Source organism: Homo sapiens, chromosome X, assembly GCF_000001405.40.
Source record: "Homo sapiens chromosome X, GRCh38.p14 Primary Assembly".
Classification (NCBI taxonomy): domain Eukaryota; kingdom Metazoa; phylum Chordata; class Mammalia; order Primates; family Hominidae; genus Homo; species Homo sapiens.
In genome coordinates this window covers 77,853,799-77,870,451 of record NC_000023.11, presented here as the reverse complement: position 1 = coordinate 77,870,451, position 16,653 = coordinate 77,853,799, and the positions used below count along the sequence as shown (strand labels likewise).

At 41.4% G+C, this 16,653-nt stretch overlaps 1 protein-coding gene across 2 annotated transcripts in view; it reads left to right on the top strand.

Annotated features, from left to right (window-relative positions):
* MAGT1 (magnesium transporter 1) overlaps nucleotides 1-16,653 on the top strand; it is a 69,822-nt gene that overhangs the window by 25,117 nt on the left and 28,052 nt on the right. For both annotated transcript variants that reach the window (NM_001367916.1, NM_032121.5), the window contains exons 4-7: nucleotides 12,955-13,095; nucleotides 13,579-13,719; nucleotides 14,862-14,951; nucleotides 16,488-16,551. In NM_001367916.1, coding sequence (NP_001354845.1) covers nucleotides 12,955-13,095; nucleotides 13,579-13,719; nucleotides 14,862-14,951; nucleotides 16,488-16,551 — 436 coding nt within the window. The remainder of the gene's footprint in view (nucleotides 1-12,954; nucleotides 13,096-13,578; nucleotides 13,720-14,861; nucleotides 14,952-16,487; nucleotides 16,552-16,653) is intronic.

The following is a 16,653-nucleotide window of genomic DNA, read 5'->3' as shown; positions in this document are numbered from 1 at the left end:
TATAGATATCTTTATCCCCTTACCTCTTTTTTAAAATTTTTATTTTTATTTCAATAGTTTTGGGGCAACAGGTGGTTTTTGGTTACATGGATAAGTTCTTTAGTGGTGATTTCTGGATTTTGGTACACCCATCCCCTGAGCAGCGTACACTGTACCCAAATACGTAGTCTTTAATCCTTCATCCCCCTCTGACCCTTTTTCCCCCAAAGTTCCCAACGTCCATTATATCAATCTTATGCCTTTGCATCCTCATAGTTTAACTCCTACTCATAAGTGAGAACATAACGATATTTGGTTTTCCGTTCCTAAGTTACTTCACTTAGAATAATGACCTCCCGCTCCATCCAAATTGCTGCAAAATACATTATTTCATTCCTTCTTATGACTGAGTAGTATTCCATGATTTATATGTACCACATTTTCTTTATCCACTCATTGGCTGATGGACACTTAGGTTGGTTCCATATCTTTGCAATTGTGAATTGTGCTGCTATAAATATGCATGTGTATGTGTCTTTTTCATATAATGACTTCTTTTCCTTTGGGTAGATACCCAGTAGTGGGATTGCTGGGTCAAATAGTAGTTCTACTTTGAGTTCTTTAAGGAATTTCCATACTGTTTTCCATAGTGGTTGTACTAGTTTACATTCCCACCAGCAGTGTTAAAAGTGTTCCCTTTTCACTACATCCACACCACATCTTTGTTTTTTTTTGTTTTGTTTTTTGTGTTTTTTTTTTTGCTTTAATTATGACCATTCTTGCGGGTGTAAAGTAGTATTTCATTGTGGTTTTGATTTCCCTGATAATTAGTGATGTTGGCCATTTGTATATCTTCTTTTGAGAAATGTCTATTCTTGTCCTTTACCCATTTTTTGATGGGATTGTTTGTTTTCCTCTTGCTGATTTGTTTGAGTACTTTGTAGATTCTGGATATTAGTCCTTTGTCAGATGCACAGTTTGCAAATATTTTCTCCCACTCTGTGGGTTGTTGGTTTACTCTGCAGATTATTCCTTTTGCTGTGCAGAAGCTTTTTAGTTAAATTAGGTCCCATTTATTTATTTTTGTTCTTGTTGCATTTGCTTTTGGGGTCTTAGCCATGAATTCTTTGCCTAAGCCAATGTCTGGAAGAGTTTTTCAGCTGGGCATGGTGGATCATGCCTGTAATCCCAGCACTTTGGGAGGCCAAGGTGGTCAGATCACTCGAGGTCAAGAGTTTAATACCAGCCTGGCCAACATGGTGAAACTCCATCTCTACTAAAATACAAAAATTATCCGGGTGTGGTGGCGGGCGCCCGTAATCCCAACTACTCGGGATGCTGAGGCATGAGAATCACTTGAACCCAGGAAGCGGAGGTTCCAGTGAGCCGAGATTGCCAGCCTGGGTGATAGAGTGAGACTCAGTCTCAAAAAAAGAGTTTTTACAATGTTATCTTCTAGAATTTTTATGGTTTCAGGTCTTAGATTTAAGTTTCTGGTCCATCTTGAGTTGATTTCTTTTGTCCCCTTACCTCTAGTCTTAGTAGAAAAGTAGATCTTTTGTTGTTTGAAACTGAACCTTTTTCCTGGGCCCTGGATCACATACCCACCTGCTCTGTCAATCATGACCTCTCACAACTATTTTTTGTTTTTGAGACAAGAGTCCCGCTCTGTTGCCCAGGCTGGAGTGCAATGGCACAATCTTGGCTCACTGGCAGCCTCTGCCTTTTGGGTTCAAGCAATTTTCCTGCCTCAGCCTCCCAAGTAGCTGGGATTACAGGCACTTGCCACCACGCCTGGTTAATTTTTTAATTTTTCTTTTTAGTTTCAGGTTTTTTGAGATGGAGTCTCGCTCTGTTGCCCAGACTAGAGTGCAGTGGCTTGATCTCGGCTCACTGCAACCTCTGCCTCCTGGATTCAAGTGATTCTTCTGCCTCAGCCTCCTGAATAGCTGGAATTACAGGTGCCCACCACCACGCCTGGCTACTTTTTGTATTTTGAGTACAGATGGGGTTTCACCGTATTGGCCAGGCTGGTCTCAAACTCCTGACCTCAGATGATCCACCCACCTCAGCCTCCCAAAGTGCTGGGATTACAGGCGTGAGCCACCACACCTGGTCCATTTTTAGCTTCAGCATCTCTACTAGTTCTTTCCCCTTGCATATAAATACTTAAGGACATAGATTCAATTTTGTCTTTGTTTATAAATGTGTCTAATTCATATATTTGAACATATTTTACTCAATTGTATCAAACATAAAAGGAAAAAGCTGGATATAATGCCTTGCTATACATCTTCATATGAATGACTTCCCAATCTAAAAATTTATTATATCCCAAATTAAACTGTTTTCTCTTCCACTTTCACCCAAGCCTCATCTTATGTTCTGTATCATTAATGACACTTCTTTGTCATCTTCATCTTCTTGTACAACGTGTGTCATAGCCATACCCCCTTTACATTCCAAGGCTCACATTCATCTCTCATTCAAGCTAATGCAGTAACCTTTTAACTGGTCCACTTACCTTCCATTTAGCGCTCTGTCCATATTGCCTGCTATAACATTTCCCAGAGTTTTTTCTACATGGTATTAATAAGTATTCTTGGAAAAAAATAAACTTGGGAAACCCTGGTTTAAACAAAATTAAGTTTTCTTTTTACTTCAGGGTTCAAAAGCTGGGAAGGATCTAAGTTCTTACCCTACTTGCAAGCTAACAAGTTAACCTGCCACAGTTTCATGGATGCTGGCAGAAAATATGACACTCCTGAGTCAGAGTCCAGCAAAGGACTTTTTGCTGTTTGTTTTTGAGATTGGGTCTTGCTATGTTGCCCTGGCTAGTCTTGAACTCCTGGGCTCAAGTAATCCTTGCACCTTAACCTTCTGAGTAGCTGGGATTACAGGCTTGTGCCACCATGCCTGGCTCAAGTTAAAGGACTTTACTACTCACAACAAGTAGCCAAAATGTCATAGGTTCCCCAAACCCCATTTCCCATAGGGCAATCCAAAGAGGGCCAGTGGTCAGCTACTCGGAAGGCTGGATCAGGAGGATTGCTTGAGATCAGTTTGAGGCTGCAGTGAGCTGTGATCGTGCCTCTGCACTCTAGCCTGAGCAGCAGAGCCAGACCCCAACTCTTAAGAAAACAACAATAACAAAGAGGGCCAATGGGCTGCATTATGGGAGAGGAACACCAAGCTCTGGGAACCCACATTTTCTGTAATGGATAGTAAGTGTGCCTCCCCTTTGCTGTGGAGGGAGACTGTGTAACCGCCCAAGGGGTTCACTTTGCTGCTGCCTAAACAGATCCAATTCATCAAGACAGAGGAATTGCAATAGAGAAAGTATTTCATGCACAGCCAGCTTTGTGGGAGACTGGAGTTTTATTATTACTCAAGTCAGTCTCCCCGAGCATTCGGGGTGCAGAGTTTTTAAGGATAGCTTCGTGGGTGGGGGGAAGCCAGTGAGCCAGGAGTGCTGATTGCTCAGAGATTAAATCATAGGGAGTTAAAGGTGTCTTCATGTGCTGAGTCAGTTCCTGGGAGGGGGCCACAAGATCAGATGAGCCAGTTTATTGATCTGGGTGGTGTCAGCTGATCCATCAAGTGCAGAGTCTGCAAAATATCTCAAGCGATGATATTAGGAGCAGTTTAGGGAGGGTCAGAATCTTGTAGCCTCTAGCTACATGACTCCTAAACCATAATTTTTCATCTTGTGGCTAATATTAGTCCTACAAAGGCAATCTAGTTCTCAGGCAAGAAGGAGGTCTGCTTTGGGAAAGGGCTGTTACAGTCTTTGTTTAAACTATAAACTAAGTTTCTCCTAAAGTTAGTTCAGCCTATGGCCAGGAATGAACAAGGACAGCTTGGAGGTTAGAACCAAGTCGGAGTCAGTTAAGTTAGATCTCTTTCACTGTCTCAGTCATAATTTTGCGAAGGCCATTTCAACTATCTTCCAAAGATATACAAATATCCTTGAGAAGATTGTCCAGAACAAAGGCAGTTAGGGCCCTTGTCCACAAGATGTGCAGAAACATGAGAAACTCATGAAGAATTGTCTCCCAACACAGCTTTTGAGAGATCAGAGATGTTAACATGCTGATGCTGATATGTGTTATACTTTCCAATGGGGGCTCTAATACACAGAATTTCTCATATTATTGGACCACTTAATGGAGCATTTGGCTAGATTCCATAGAACACACTTTTGAAAGGAGTAGTGTATAGACTGAAGCCAGAATTCCTTAGTCCTAATTTCATGTGCTCTTTACTCCAGTCACACCTTTCCCATAATCATATTCTTTGATGCACTCTTTTTTTTTTTTTAATTGAGGTGGAGTCTTGCTGTCACCCAGGCTGGAGTGCGGTGGCGTGATCTCGGCTCACTGCCAACCTCTGCTCAAGCGATTCTCGTGCCTCAGCCTCCAGAGTATCTGGGATTACAGGCACGCGCCACCACACCTGGCTAATTTTTTTTAATTTTTAGTAGAGACAGGGGTTTCGCCATGTTGGCCAGGCTGGTCTCAAACCCCTGACCTCGGGTGATCTGCCCGCCTTGGCCTCCCAAAGTGCTGGGATTACAGGCGTGAGACACCACGCCTGGCCTGATGCACTCTCGTATGTCAGCACTGTTGATTGTTGGGTTACAACAATTTTCTTCCCTGTCTGCTTTCTCTCCACTCTCAAAATTCTGCTTACATTTTAAGCCTTGTTTCAGATACTCCCTGTAAGCTTTCTCAACTTTTCCAGATAAAAAGTGAGTCACTCCTTTTCTTGTATTGTTATATCACTTGCCTTAAATTTCTGTTATACATTTATCCACATTTTGTCTTACAGTAGAGTTAGCTCTGTAGTTGTTTGACAGTCTCCCTTAGAATATAGTTACAGCCAGGTGCGGTTGGCTCACGCCTGTAATCCCAGCACTTTGGGAGGCCGAGGCAGGCAGATCACGAGGTCAGGATATCGAGACCATCCTGGCTAACACGGTGAAACCCTGTCTCTACAAAAAAAAAACAACAAAAATTAGACGGGCATGGTGGTGTGCGCCTGTAGTCCCAGCTACTCGGGAGGCTGAGGCAGGAGAATGGCTTGAACCCGGGAGGCGGAGCTTGTAGTGATCTGAGATCGCGCCACTGCACTCCAGCCTGGGCGACAGAGCGAGACTCCATCTCAAAAATAAATAAATAAATAAATAAAAGAATATAGTTACTACTTAGTTAATGGCAGAGCCATATCCTGTAGCTATCAGTGCTAAGCACATAACGGGTATTCGGTAAATGTTGAAAAAAATGGCTTAATGTTTCCATTTTACAGTATATCATTCATTGTGCTATTCATATTCCAGTCTCACTTAGCCATCTCCACAAATCAAAATCAGTGCATTTATAAAAATGTTGTAACCTAAAAGGTTAGTGCATTTAGGATTTATTAGACTAAAGGAAACAATTTCTGGAGTTTAAGAAATTGAGGCCAGGCATGGTGGCTCACACCTGTAATCCCAGCACTTTGGGAGGCCAAGGCGTGGGGATCACTTCAGGTCAGGAGTTCGACACCAGCCTGGCCAACATGGTGAAATCCCATCTCTACTAAAAATACAAAAATTAGCCAGGTGTGGTGTCGGGCACCTGTAATCCCAGCTACTTGGGAGGCTGAGACAGGAGAATCGCTTGAACCCAGGAGGTGGAGGTTGTAGTGAGCCAGGAGGTTGTAGTGAGCCGCTGCACTCCAGCCTGGGTGACAGAGCTAGACTTTGTCTCAAAAAAAAAAATTGCTTTTTAATTCTCTACTATTTAGGCTGCAGTTATTTTTGGAAATTACAATTTTTAATTCCATTTATTTTAACAAGGTAACACATAACTTCTGTTAGTGATTTGTAAAAATAGAAAACCCATTTTTTTCTACCTTAGTTTTTTTACTGATAACATAATATTTGTACATATTTATGGGGTACATGTGATATTTTGTTAGATTCATAGAATGATCAAGTCAGGATAGTTGGAGTATCCATCACCTTGAGTATTTATCATTTCTATATGTTGGGAACATTTCAAGTCCTCTCTTCTAGCTGTTTTGAAATATGTAATACATTTTTGTTAATTATAGTCACGCTACTCTGCTATGGAACATTAGATCTTACTCCTTCTAACTGTATGAGTGTACCCATTAACTGACCTCTCTTCATTGCCCGCTCCCGCACCCCTCCCCCCCACCCCGCCCACCACAACACACACACATACACTCTTCCCAGCCTCTGGTATCTGCCATTCTACTCTGTACCTCCCTGAGTTCAATTTTTTTAGCTCCCACATATGAGAACATGCCATATTTGTCTTTCTGTGCCTGGCTTATTTCACATAATAACTTCCAGTTCCATCCATATTGCTGCAAGTAACATGATTTCATTCTTTTTTATGGTGGAGTAGTATTCCATTGTGTATACACACCACATTTTTTTTTTCTTTGAGATGGAGTCTTTCTCTGTCGCCCAGGCTAGAGTGCAGTGGCACAATCTTGGCTTACTGCAACCTCCCAGGTTCAAGCCATTCTCCTGCCTCAGCGTCTCGAGTAGCTGGGATTACAGGTGTGCGCCACCACGCCTGGCTAATTTTTTTGTATTTTTAGTAGAGATGGGGTTTCACCATGTTGGCCAGGCTGGTCTCCCTCCAACTCCTGAGCTCAACTGATCCACCTGCCGCAGCCTCCCAAAGTGGTAGGATTACAGGCGCAAGCCACTGCGCCTGGCCTAATACCACATTTTCTTGATCTGTTCGTCTGTTGATGGATGCTTAGGTTGATTCCATAACTTTGCTATTGTGCTGCAGTAAACATGGGGGTGCAGGTATCCCTTTGATATACTGATTTCCTTTCCTATGGATACATACCCAGTAGTGGCATTGCTGGATCAAATGCTAGTTCTATTTTTAGTTTCTTGGGAAATCTTTATACTGTTTTTCTTTTTTTTTTTTTTTGAGACGGAGTCTCCCTCTGGAGTGCTGGAGTGCAGTGGTGTGATCTCGGCTCACTACAAGCTCCGCCTCCCGGGTTCACGCCATTCTCCTGCCTCAGCCTCCCGAGTAGCTGGGACTACAGGTGCACACCACCACGCCCGGCTAATTTTTGTTGTATTTTTTAGTAGAGATGGGGCTTCACCGTGTTAGCCATGATGGTCTCGATCTCCTGACCTCGTGATCCGCCCACCTCGGCCTCCCAAAGTACTGGGATTACAGGCGTGAGCCACCACACCTGGCCTTATACTGTTTTTCATAGTGGCTATACTAATTTAATTTCCCACCAACAGTGTATGAGTTCCCTTTTTTTTTGAGATGGAGTCTCACTCTGTTGCCCAGGCTGGAGTGCAGATTTCGGCTCACTGCAACCTCCGCTTCCTGGGTTCAAGCGATTCTCCTGCCTCAGTATCCTGAGCAGCTGGGATTACAGGCGCACATCACCACACCCAGCTAATTTTTGTATTTTTAGTAGAGACAGGGTTTCACCATGTTGGCCAGGCTGATCTCGAACTCCTGACCTCAGGTGATCCACCCGCCTCGGCCTCCCAAAGTGTTGGGATTATAGGAATGAGCCACCGTGCCTGGCCGTGAGTTCCCTTTTCTCCATATCCTTGCATCTGTTTTTGTTTGTTTGTTCGTTTAAGGTAAAGAAAGGCAGATTTATTAGAGAAAGTAGGAAAATGTATTGCAAGGAGGCAACAGACAGATGAGCAGAAAAGGAGCTTTTCTAATAATAATAATAATGGCCATTCTAACTGGGAGAAGATGATATCTCACTGTAGATTTGATTTGCGTTTCCCTGATGATGAGTGATGTTGAGTATTTTTTCATACACCTGTTGGCCATGTGTGTCTTCTTTTGAGAAATGTCTATTCATGTCCTTTGTCCACTTTTTAATGGGATTATTTGCTTTTTTACTGTTGAGTGATTTGAATTTTTTTTGTTTTTGTTTTTGTTTTATTTTCTTTTTAGAGTTGTTTGAATTTTTTGTATATTCTGGACATTAGTTCCTTGTTGAATGAATAGTTTGTAAATATTTTCTCCCATTCAACAGATTGTCTCTTCACTTTGTTGTTTCCTTTGCTTTGCAGAAGCTTTTTAGCTTAATATAGTCCCATTTGTCTATTTTTGTTTTTGTTACGTACACTTTCGTACCTTGAATAGTTTTTAATATTAATTTCCATTACTCTATTTTAGAGCTAGATTTTAGAGCCAAAGGTATAAGGATGGTAGTGTGTCCATCTGTGGAAGAGATTCAAATCTTTCTCTAAGTAACAGTGTCATATGCCACAGTATGCAAAAGCTAAGCGTATGTGAAAACTGATACCTACCAAAAAATAGTGTATCTTATTTTGGTTCATTAACCTCCAAGGAATTTCAGAGTCTACAAGGGGTTTTGGTGGGGTTGTTTTGTAAATATATATAATATAAAATTTATTATGTTTACCATTTTTTAAATGTACAGGTCAGTAGTGCTAGATACATTCACATTGTTGTACAACCAATCTCCAGAATTCTTTCATCTTCCAAAACTGAAACTTTATAGCCATTAAACAACTTCAGTTCCCCACTCCCCCAGTTCCTGACAACCACCATTCTACTTTCTGTCTCTATGAATTTGACTACTCTAGGTACCTAATATAAGTGGAATTATATAGTATTTGTGTTCTTGTGACTGGCTTATTTCACTTAGCATCATGTCCTCAATGTTCATCCATGTTATAGCATGTGTCAGAACTTCCTTCCTTTTCAAAGCTGAATAATATTGCATTGTATGTATACACCTTATTTTGTTTACCCATACATCTGTCAGTGGATACTTAGGTTGCTTCCAGCTTTTGGCTATTGTGAATAATACTGCTATGAACACGAGTGTTCAAATAATCTCTTCAAGACCCTGCTTTCAGTTCTTTTGGTTATATACTTAGAAGTAGAATTGCTAGATCATATGGTAATTCTATTTTTAATCTTTTGGGGGAACCTCCATGCTGTTTTCCATAGCAGATTCACCATTTTACTTCCCACCAATGGTGCACAGGGTTTCCAGTTTCTCCACATGCTCGCAACCACTTCTTGTTTTCTGGGGTTTTTTGTTTGTTTGTTTGTTTGTTTTGGATAATAGCCATCTTTATGAGTGTGAGGTGGTATCTCATTGTGGTTTTGTTTTTTATTTCCATAATGATAGTAATATTGAACATTTTTTCATGTGTTTTGTTGGCCATTTGTATATCTTCTTTGGAGAAATGTCAAGTTCTTTGCCCATTGTGTGTGTGTGTTGCCTTTTTTTTTTTTGAGATAGAGTTTCACTCTTGTTGCCCAGACTGGAGTACAATGGCACGATCTCGGCTCACCACAACCTCCGTTTCCCGGGTTCAAGCGATTCTCCTGCCTCAGCCTCCCGAGTAGCTGGGATTACAGGCATGCGTCACCAGGCCCAGCTAATTTTTTTCATATTTTTAGTAGGGGCGGGGTTTCTCCATGTTGGTCAGGCTGGTTGCGGACTCCCGACCTCAGGTGATCCACCTGCCTTGGCCTCCCAACGTGCTAGGATTACAGGCATGAGCCACTGCACCCACCTGTGTTGCCCATTTTTTAAATCAAGTTTTTTGTTGTTGTTGAGTTGTAGGAGGTCTTTATATATTCCAAATTTTTGTTGTTGTTTTTATTTTGTTTTTGTTTGTTTGTTTCTTGAGACAGAGTCTCACTCTGTCGCCCAGGCTGGAGCGCAGTGGCGCAGTCCTGGATCACTGCAACCTCTGCCTCCCAGGTTCAAGCAATTCTCGTGTCTCAGCCACCCAAATAGCTGGGATTATAGGCATGCGCCACCACACCTGGCTAATTTTTGTATTTTTAGTAGAGACAGGGTTTCGCCATGTTGGCCAGAGTGGTCTCAAACTCCTGGCCTCAAGTGATACACCTGTCTTGGCCTCCCAAAGTGCTGGGATTACAGGCATAAGCCACCATGCCCAGACTATTCTGAATATTAACTCCTTATTAGATAAATGATTTACAGATAATTCCTCCCATTTCACAGGTTTTCTTTCTACTCTGTTGATTGTATCGTTGGGCTACAAGATGTTTTCAGGCCGGGCATGGTGACTCACGCCTGTAATGCCAGCACTTTGGGAGGCTGAGGCAGGCGGATCACTTGAGGTCATGAGTTCGAGACCACCTTGGCCAACATGGCGAAACCTTGTCTCTACTGAAAATACAAAAACAAAGTAGCTGGATGTCATGGCGCATCCCTGTTATCCCAGCTACTTGAGAGGGTAAGACAGGAGGATCGCTTGAACCCAGGAAGCGGAGATTGTGTGGGCCAAGATTGCGCCAACGCACTCCAGCCTGGACAACAGAGTGAGACTCCTTCTCAAGAAAAAAAAACAAAGATGTTTTCAGATAACTAATTTGTTTTAAAGATGTTTTATTAGTAAACAGGGAAACACAAATTAATAGTATGATAATGATAAAGTACAGTCTTCACCCATCACATCAACTTTTGGCAAGGATGTAGGGAAATGGATACATTACTGCATTGTTAAGTAGAAGTATATTTTGGCACAGCCACTTTGGAAGACAATTTGGCTATATCCATTTTTTTTTTTTTAAAGACAGAGTCTCACTGTGTCACCCAGGCTGAAATGCAGTGGTGCAATCTCAGCTCACTGCAACCTCCGCCTCCCAGGTTCAAGTAATTCTTGTGCCTCAGCCTCCTGAGTAACTGGGATTACAGGCACCCACCACCACACCCAGCTAATTTTTGTATTTTTAGTAGAGATGGGGTTTTACCATGTTGGCCAAGCTGGTCTCGAGCTCCTGACCTCAAGTGATCCACCTGCCTCGGCTTTCCAAAGTGCTGGGATTACAGGCGTGAGCCACCGTGCCTGGGCACTATATCCATTTTAATTAAAAAATATTTCTATCCCATGACCTAACAATCCCATTTCTAGAGAATCACTTTCACATGGGTACAGGGAGATATGTGCAAGGATGTTCACTGCAACATTATTTTTAGTTGCTAAAAAGGAAGACAACCAGGAAAATACCATTAATATGATACCATTTATGTTAAAACAGCAATATTATATGTTTTCTGGTGGTATAAACATATATATGAATAAATTCAAAAATATCTGTAAATGGTAACTGTGGCTGCCAGAATGTACTAGAATTGGTCCTTATAACCATGTAATGTTTTTAAAAATATTTTTTACAAGAGAAGTGTATTTATATGTTACTTATTTTTTATTTTTTATTTATTTATTTAGAGACGGAGTCTAGCTCTGTCACCCAGGCTGGAGTACAGTGGCACAATCTCGGCTCACTGCAACCTCCGCCTCCCGGGTTCAAGCGATTCTCCTGCCTCAGCCTCCTGAGTAGCTGGGATTACAGGTGCCCACCGTCACGCCCAGCTAATTTTTGTATTTTTAGTAGAGACAGGGTTTCACTGTGTTGGCCAGGCTGGTCTTGAACTCCTGACCTCATTATCTGCCCACCTCGGCCTCCCAAAGTGCTGGGATTACAAGTGTGAGCCACCGCACCCGGCCAGTTTTTATTTTTTATACACATTTTCAAAAATGTAGAGGTGGTGTAACTAAACAAATATTGAATAAAGAGTTTGGCCTAAAATTTGGGCAGCATTTGGTAGACTGAACATTGTATAAGATTTGGTTCCTAGCTTTGCAATCACAGAAATTGAATTTTAACAGGATAGCCAGAATTTATCTACCTCTAGGGATTTTGTGCCTACTGACCAAGGCATATAAATCTATGGACATTGGTAACCAAAGGAGTAATCTATTAATTCATTAATTTACCACATTATACAGCCAAAGAGACCAAAATAATGATAAGCAACAGTCAGTACATGCTCTCACCTTATGGGAAAGCTTGAAAACTTACTGTTAGAAGGATTTTAACTAAAGAATCAAAGCATGGGAGTTGGATTATTTTATTGGCTGAGGTTTTAAAATTATAATTGTAAGGCCAGGCACGGTGGCTCACGCCTGTAAACCCAGCACTTTGGGAGGCTGAGGCGGGGGGATCATTTGCAGTCAGGAGTTCAAGACCAGCCTGGCCAACATGGTGAACCCCTGTCTCTACTAAAAATACAAAAATTAGCTGGGTGTGGTGGCACATACCTGTAATCCCAGCTCCTTGGGAGGCTGAGGCAGGAGAATCACTTGAACCTGGGAGGCGGAGGTTGCAGTGAACCGAGATCCTGCCACTGTGCTTCAGCCTAGGCAACAGAGTGAGACTCCATCTCAAAAATAAACAAATAAATAAATAAAAATTGATTTGTGCAAGCCAATCTCTATAAGATTGTCACCAGTCTGGGTGACAGAGCGAGACTCCATCTCAAAAAAATAAAAAAAGATATAATGCAGATGAGATGGTTATGGTTTCTTTACCTTAGTATTTCCGGTGTTGTCTTCTCAAATATATCATGATGTCATGATGGAGAATAGAGAAATGTGGTGCTCATCAGTAAACATTTATGGACCTTCTTAGAATAGACTATTTCTGCATATAGCCACCATTTTGTATTGCTTTTCACTGCTGTTTTAGAGCATTATTTTATTATCTTGGTTCCTCCAAATTGAGAATATACTCTATTTGGAGCTTACTCAGCTACATAAGATTATTTTAGTGCTCATAAATGTATTCATTTTGCATAATCTCTGAACAGATTAAAATATCTGTGGTATGGCAAAGTTTCCATTCTAGTGGAGTAAAATACAGGTTTCTTAGCGAGGAATGTGTATTTGGTGAGTAGTATGTAATACTTAAGGTCACAGGCAGCTTTGCTTTTAAAGCCTGCTCCACCACTTACCACTTTCCTTGGGCAAACCAAATCACTTAACCTACCTAAACCCAGGCCTCCTCATCTTTGTAAAATGCCTAAATTTCAAGATGTTAACTGCAATTAAGATTATTTTCCTGATAATGTATATTTTCATGGCTCGTTTTTATTCAGCTAAACATGAATTCAGCTCCAACTTTCATCAACTTTCCTGCAAAAGGGAAACCCAAACGGGGTGATACATATGAGTTACAGGTGCGGGGTTTTTCAGCTGAGCAGATTGCCCGGTGGATCGCCGACAGAACTGATGTCAATGTAAGTTTCCCAACTATGTAGACTGTTTCTTGGCCATTATCCCCTTTGAATCTTACTGGGAGGCCCTAATTAGTCTTGTCCCCATATCACTGAGGTGGTACTAGTTTGGCAGTCACTTCATAAGTAGCATTAAACAGAATCATCTTGATGAATGAGTGAAATTACAGAACACTCTCTATTACCCTATTGAATTCAGCATGGAAACCACTCTTTCGACCTTAAGTCCATGGATTATCTAGTTGTACTTGGCAAATCCTTCTTAATCTAAAAGATGTTATGTTGTGGTTAAATAGAATATTGTACCTATTCTATCCTATTTTAGGTTATATTATAGACTAGTTTGATTGGGATAACATAAAAAGGATCATTTTTCCGAAAGTAACCACAATAATTTTGATTGCTTTCATTTCAGATTTTATTTTGACCCATATAATTAGTAAAAAAATTTTATACTTTAACATGTTTTTCTCTCCTTTCCATTAGATTAGAGTGATTAGACCCCCAAATTATGCTGGTCCCCTTATGTTGGGATTGCTTTTGGCTGTTATTGGTGGACTTGTGTATCTTCGAAGAAGTAATATGGAATTTCTCTTTAATAAAACTGGATGGGCTTTTGCAGCTTTGGTGAGTGAATTTCAGAAGACAAAAAATTATTTGAATAAAATTCCTAATAGTGTATTTTTAGGTAAGCTTTTATTTATGTGAGAAGTAGCATTTTATTTCTTACCTGAGGAAAATAGTTTTATATATTTTAATTTTCTGTCTTAAAATCAGTTTGTTTCATTCATTATCTCATAAGGATGGCCAGAACTTCAAGGAACTGATTGTACCTGCCTTTTATTCAACCTAAATGACAGACTGTCATCTCTATGAAAATCTCTAGTTGTTCTGAAAATATTATTCTTTTTTTTTTTTCTTTGAGGCGGAGTCTTGGTCTGTCACCCAGACTGGAGTGCAGTGGCACCATCTTGGCTCACTGCAACCTCTGCTTCCTGGGCTCAAATGATTCTCCTGCCTCAGCCTCTCGAGTAGCTGGGATTACAGGCGTGTGCCACCACGCCCAGCTAATTTTTTTGTATTTTTAGGAGAGACGGGGTTTCACCATGTTGGCCAGGCTGGTCTTGAACTCCTGACCTCAGGTGACCCGCCCACCTCAGCCTCCCAAAGTGCTGGGGTTACAGGTATGAGCCACCATGCCCAGCCTGAAAATTTTATTCTAAAAAGCCTTTTCAGTATTCAATTTTGAAACTTGTGTCTGCATAGTTATAATTTTTAAATAGTGTTTTCCTGGCCAGGCGCAGTGGCTCACACCTATAATCCCATATCTTTGGGAGGCCGAGGTGGGCAGATGACGAGGTCAAGAGACCAAGATCAACCTGGCCAATATGGTGAAACCCTGTCTCTACTAAAAATACAAAATTAGCTGGGCGTGGTTCCATGCTTCTATAGTCCCAGCTACTCAGGAAGCTGAGGCAGGAGAATTGCTTAAACCTGGGAGGCGGAGGTTGCAGTGAGCCGAGATCGCGCCACTACACTCTAGTCTGGGCAAAAGAGCGAGACTCCATGTCAAAAAAAAAAAATAGTGTTTTCCTTTTGAAGTATTATCGAATTGTGATCCTTGGGATGAAATATAAGCCTTAATAAATCATTTATCTGCAAAAAATTCTATGTCTTAACTAAACAGATGCACATTTTCATATTCCTGTTATCTAATCAAGACAAGAACAGTTTGACCATGAATATTTTATTATTTTTTTGTTTCCTAGTGTTTTGTGCTTGCTATGACATCTGGTCAAATGTGGAACCATATAAGAGGACCACCATATGCCCATAAGAATCCCCACACGGGACATGTGGTAAGGGAAGTCTGGGATTTCTTTCCTTTGTAGACCAAAGTTAACTCAATGATTATTACCCTGTGAGAACAGTGCCAGCATATGAAGGAGCTGGATTTAGTCTTCACTTTTCAATCTCTCTTGTGTTAACAAGCTTCCATCACTGATAAGACCATGCAGTGCTCTTTTTTTTTTTCTTCTTTTTTTCGAAACGGAGATTTGCTCTTGTTGCCCAGGCTGGAGTGCAATGGCGTGATCTCGGCTCACTGCAACCTCCACCTCCCTGGTTCAAGTGATTCTCCTGCCTCAGCCTCCTGAGTAGCTGGGATTACAGGCATGCGCCACCACGCCCAGCTAATTTTGTATTTTTAGTAGAGACAGGGTTTCTCCATGTTGGTCAGGCTGGTCTCAAACTCCCTACCTCAGGTGATGCGCCTGCCTCAGCCTCCCAAAGTGCTGGGAATACAGGCCTGCAGGCATGAGCCACCGCACCCGGCCGCAGTGCTCTTAAAAGTGGGAAGTTCCTTTTCCCATTTGGTGAATCCTTCTAACCAAGCTAGCTAAGAATGAAAGACAGCCTTCAACTAAATAGAAAAATTGATCAAGTACCTGAGCATCCACTGTTTCTAAGCACTGTGCTAATTATTATTAAATATAGTGATAAGAAAAACATGATCCCTGTCTTCATGGAGCCTACATTATTGTACCTCATGGTCTTGTACACTTAAATACTAGTTTTCTCACCCAGGTGCAGTGTTTTGCATTTGTAGTCCCAGCTACTTGGGAGGCTGAGGCAGGAGGATGACTTGAATCCAGGAGTTCTAGCCCAGCCTGGACAACATAGCAAGATCCATCTCCTTAAAAAAAAAATGGGGCCAGGTGTGGTGACTAATACCTGTAATCCTGGCACTTTGGGAGGCTGAGGCAGGAGGACCACTTGAGGCCAGGAGTTCAAGACCAACTTGGGCAGCATAGTGAGACGTCATCTCTATGAAAAACAAAAAAGAAAAGAAAAAACAACAACAACAACTAGTTTTCTGACATATTCTGTTGTTGAAAATATAAGTACAGTATTCAAGCATTTGGGAGGCTGAGGTGGGAGGATTGCTTGAGCCCAGGAGTTTGAGACCAGCCTGGCCAACATAGCAATATGTCATTTCTAATGAAAATTTAAAAATTAGCTGAGCAGGCATGGTGGTGCATACTTGTAGTCCCATCTACTTGGGATGCTGAGGCAGGAAGATCACCGGAGCCAGGACTTTGGGATTGCAATGAGCTATGATCATGCCGCTGCACTCCAGCCTGGGCAACAGAGCAAGACCCTGTCTCAAAAATAAACATAGTATTAGTACAATGAAAAGACAAATCGAGAATAGATAATACAAAAATAGCCTTATAGTAACCAGACTTACTGATGAATGCCACAGACCCGGAGTATGTCACATGGTTTATCAGGTGAATTAATAATTTCATAGTTTAAAATACCCCGTTTTAGGGTTAGCATACCAACATTTAATGTATACTTAAAGATTCCATTTTGTCTTTTTTCCCTCCTAGAATTATATCCATGGAAGCAGTCAAGCCCAGTTTGTAGCTGAAACACACATTGTTCTTCTGTTTAGTATCCTTTTACAATAAGTCTTTCTTGCTGTATTTTGTCTGTTTTCTCACAGTCTAGTATTCTCTCTACAGCATTTGGCTGGGGCTGTTCTCTTAATGCAAG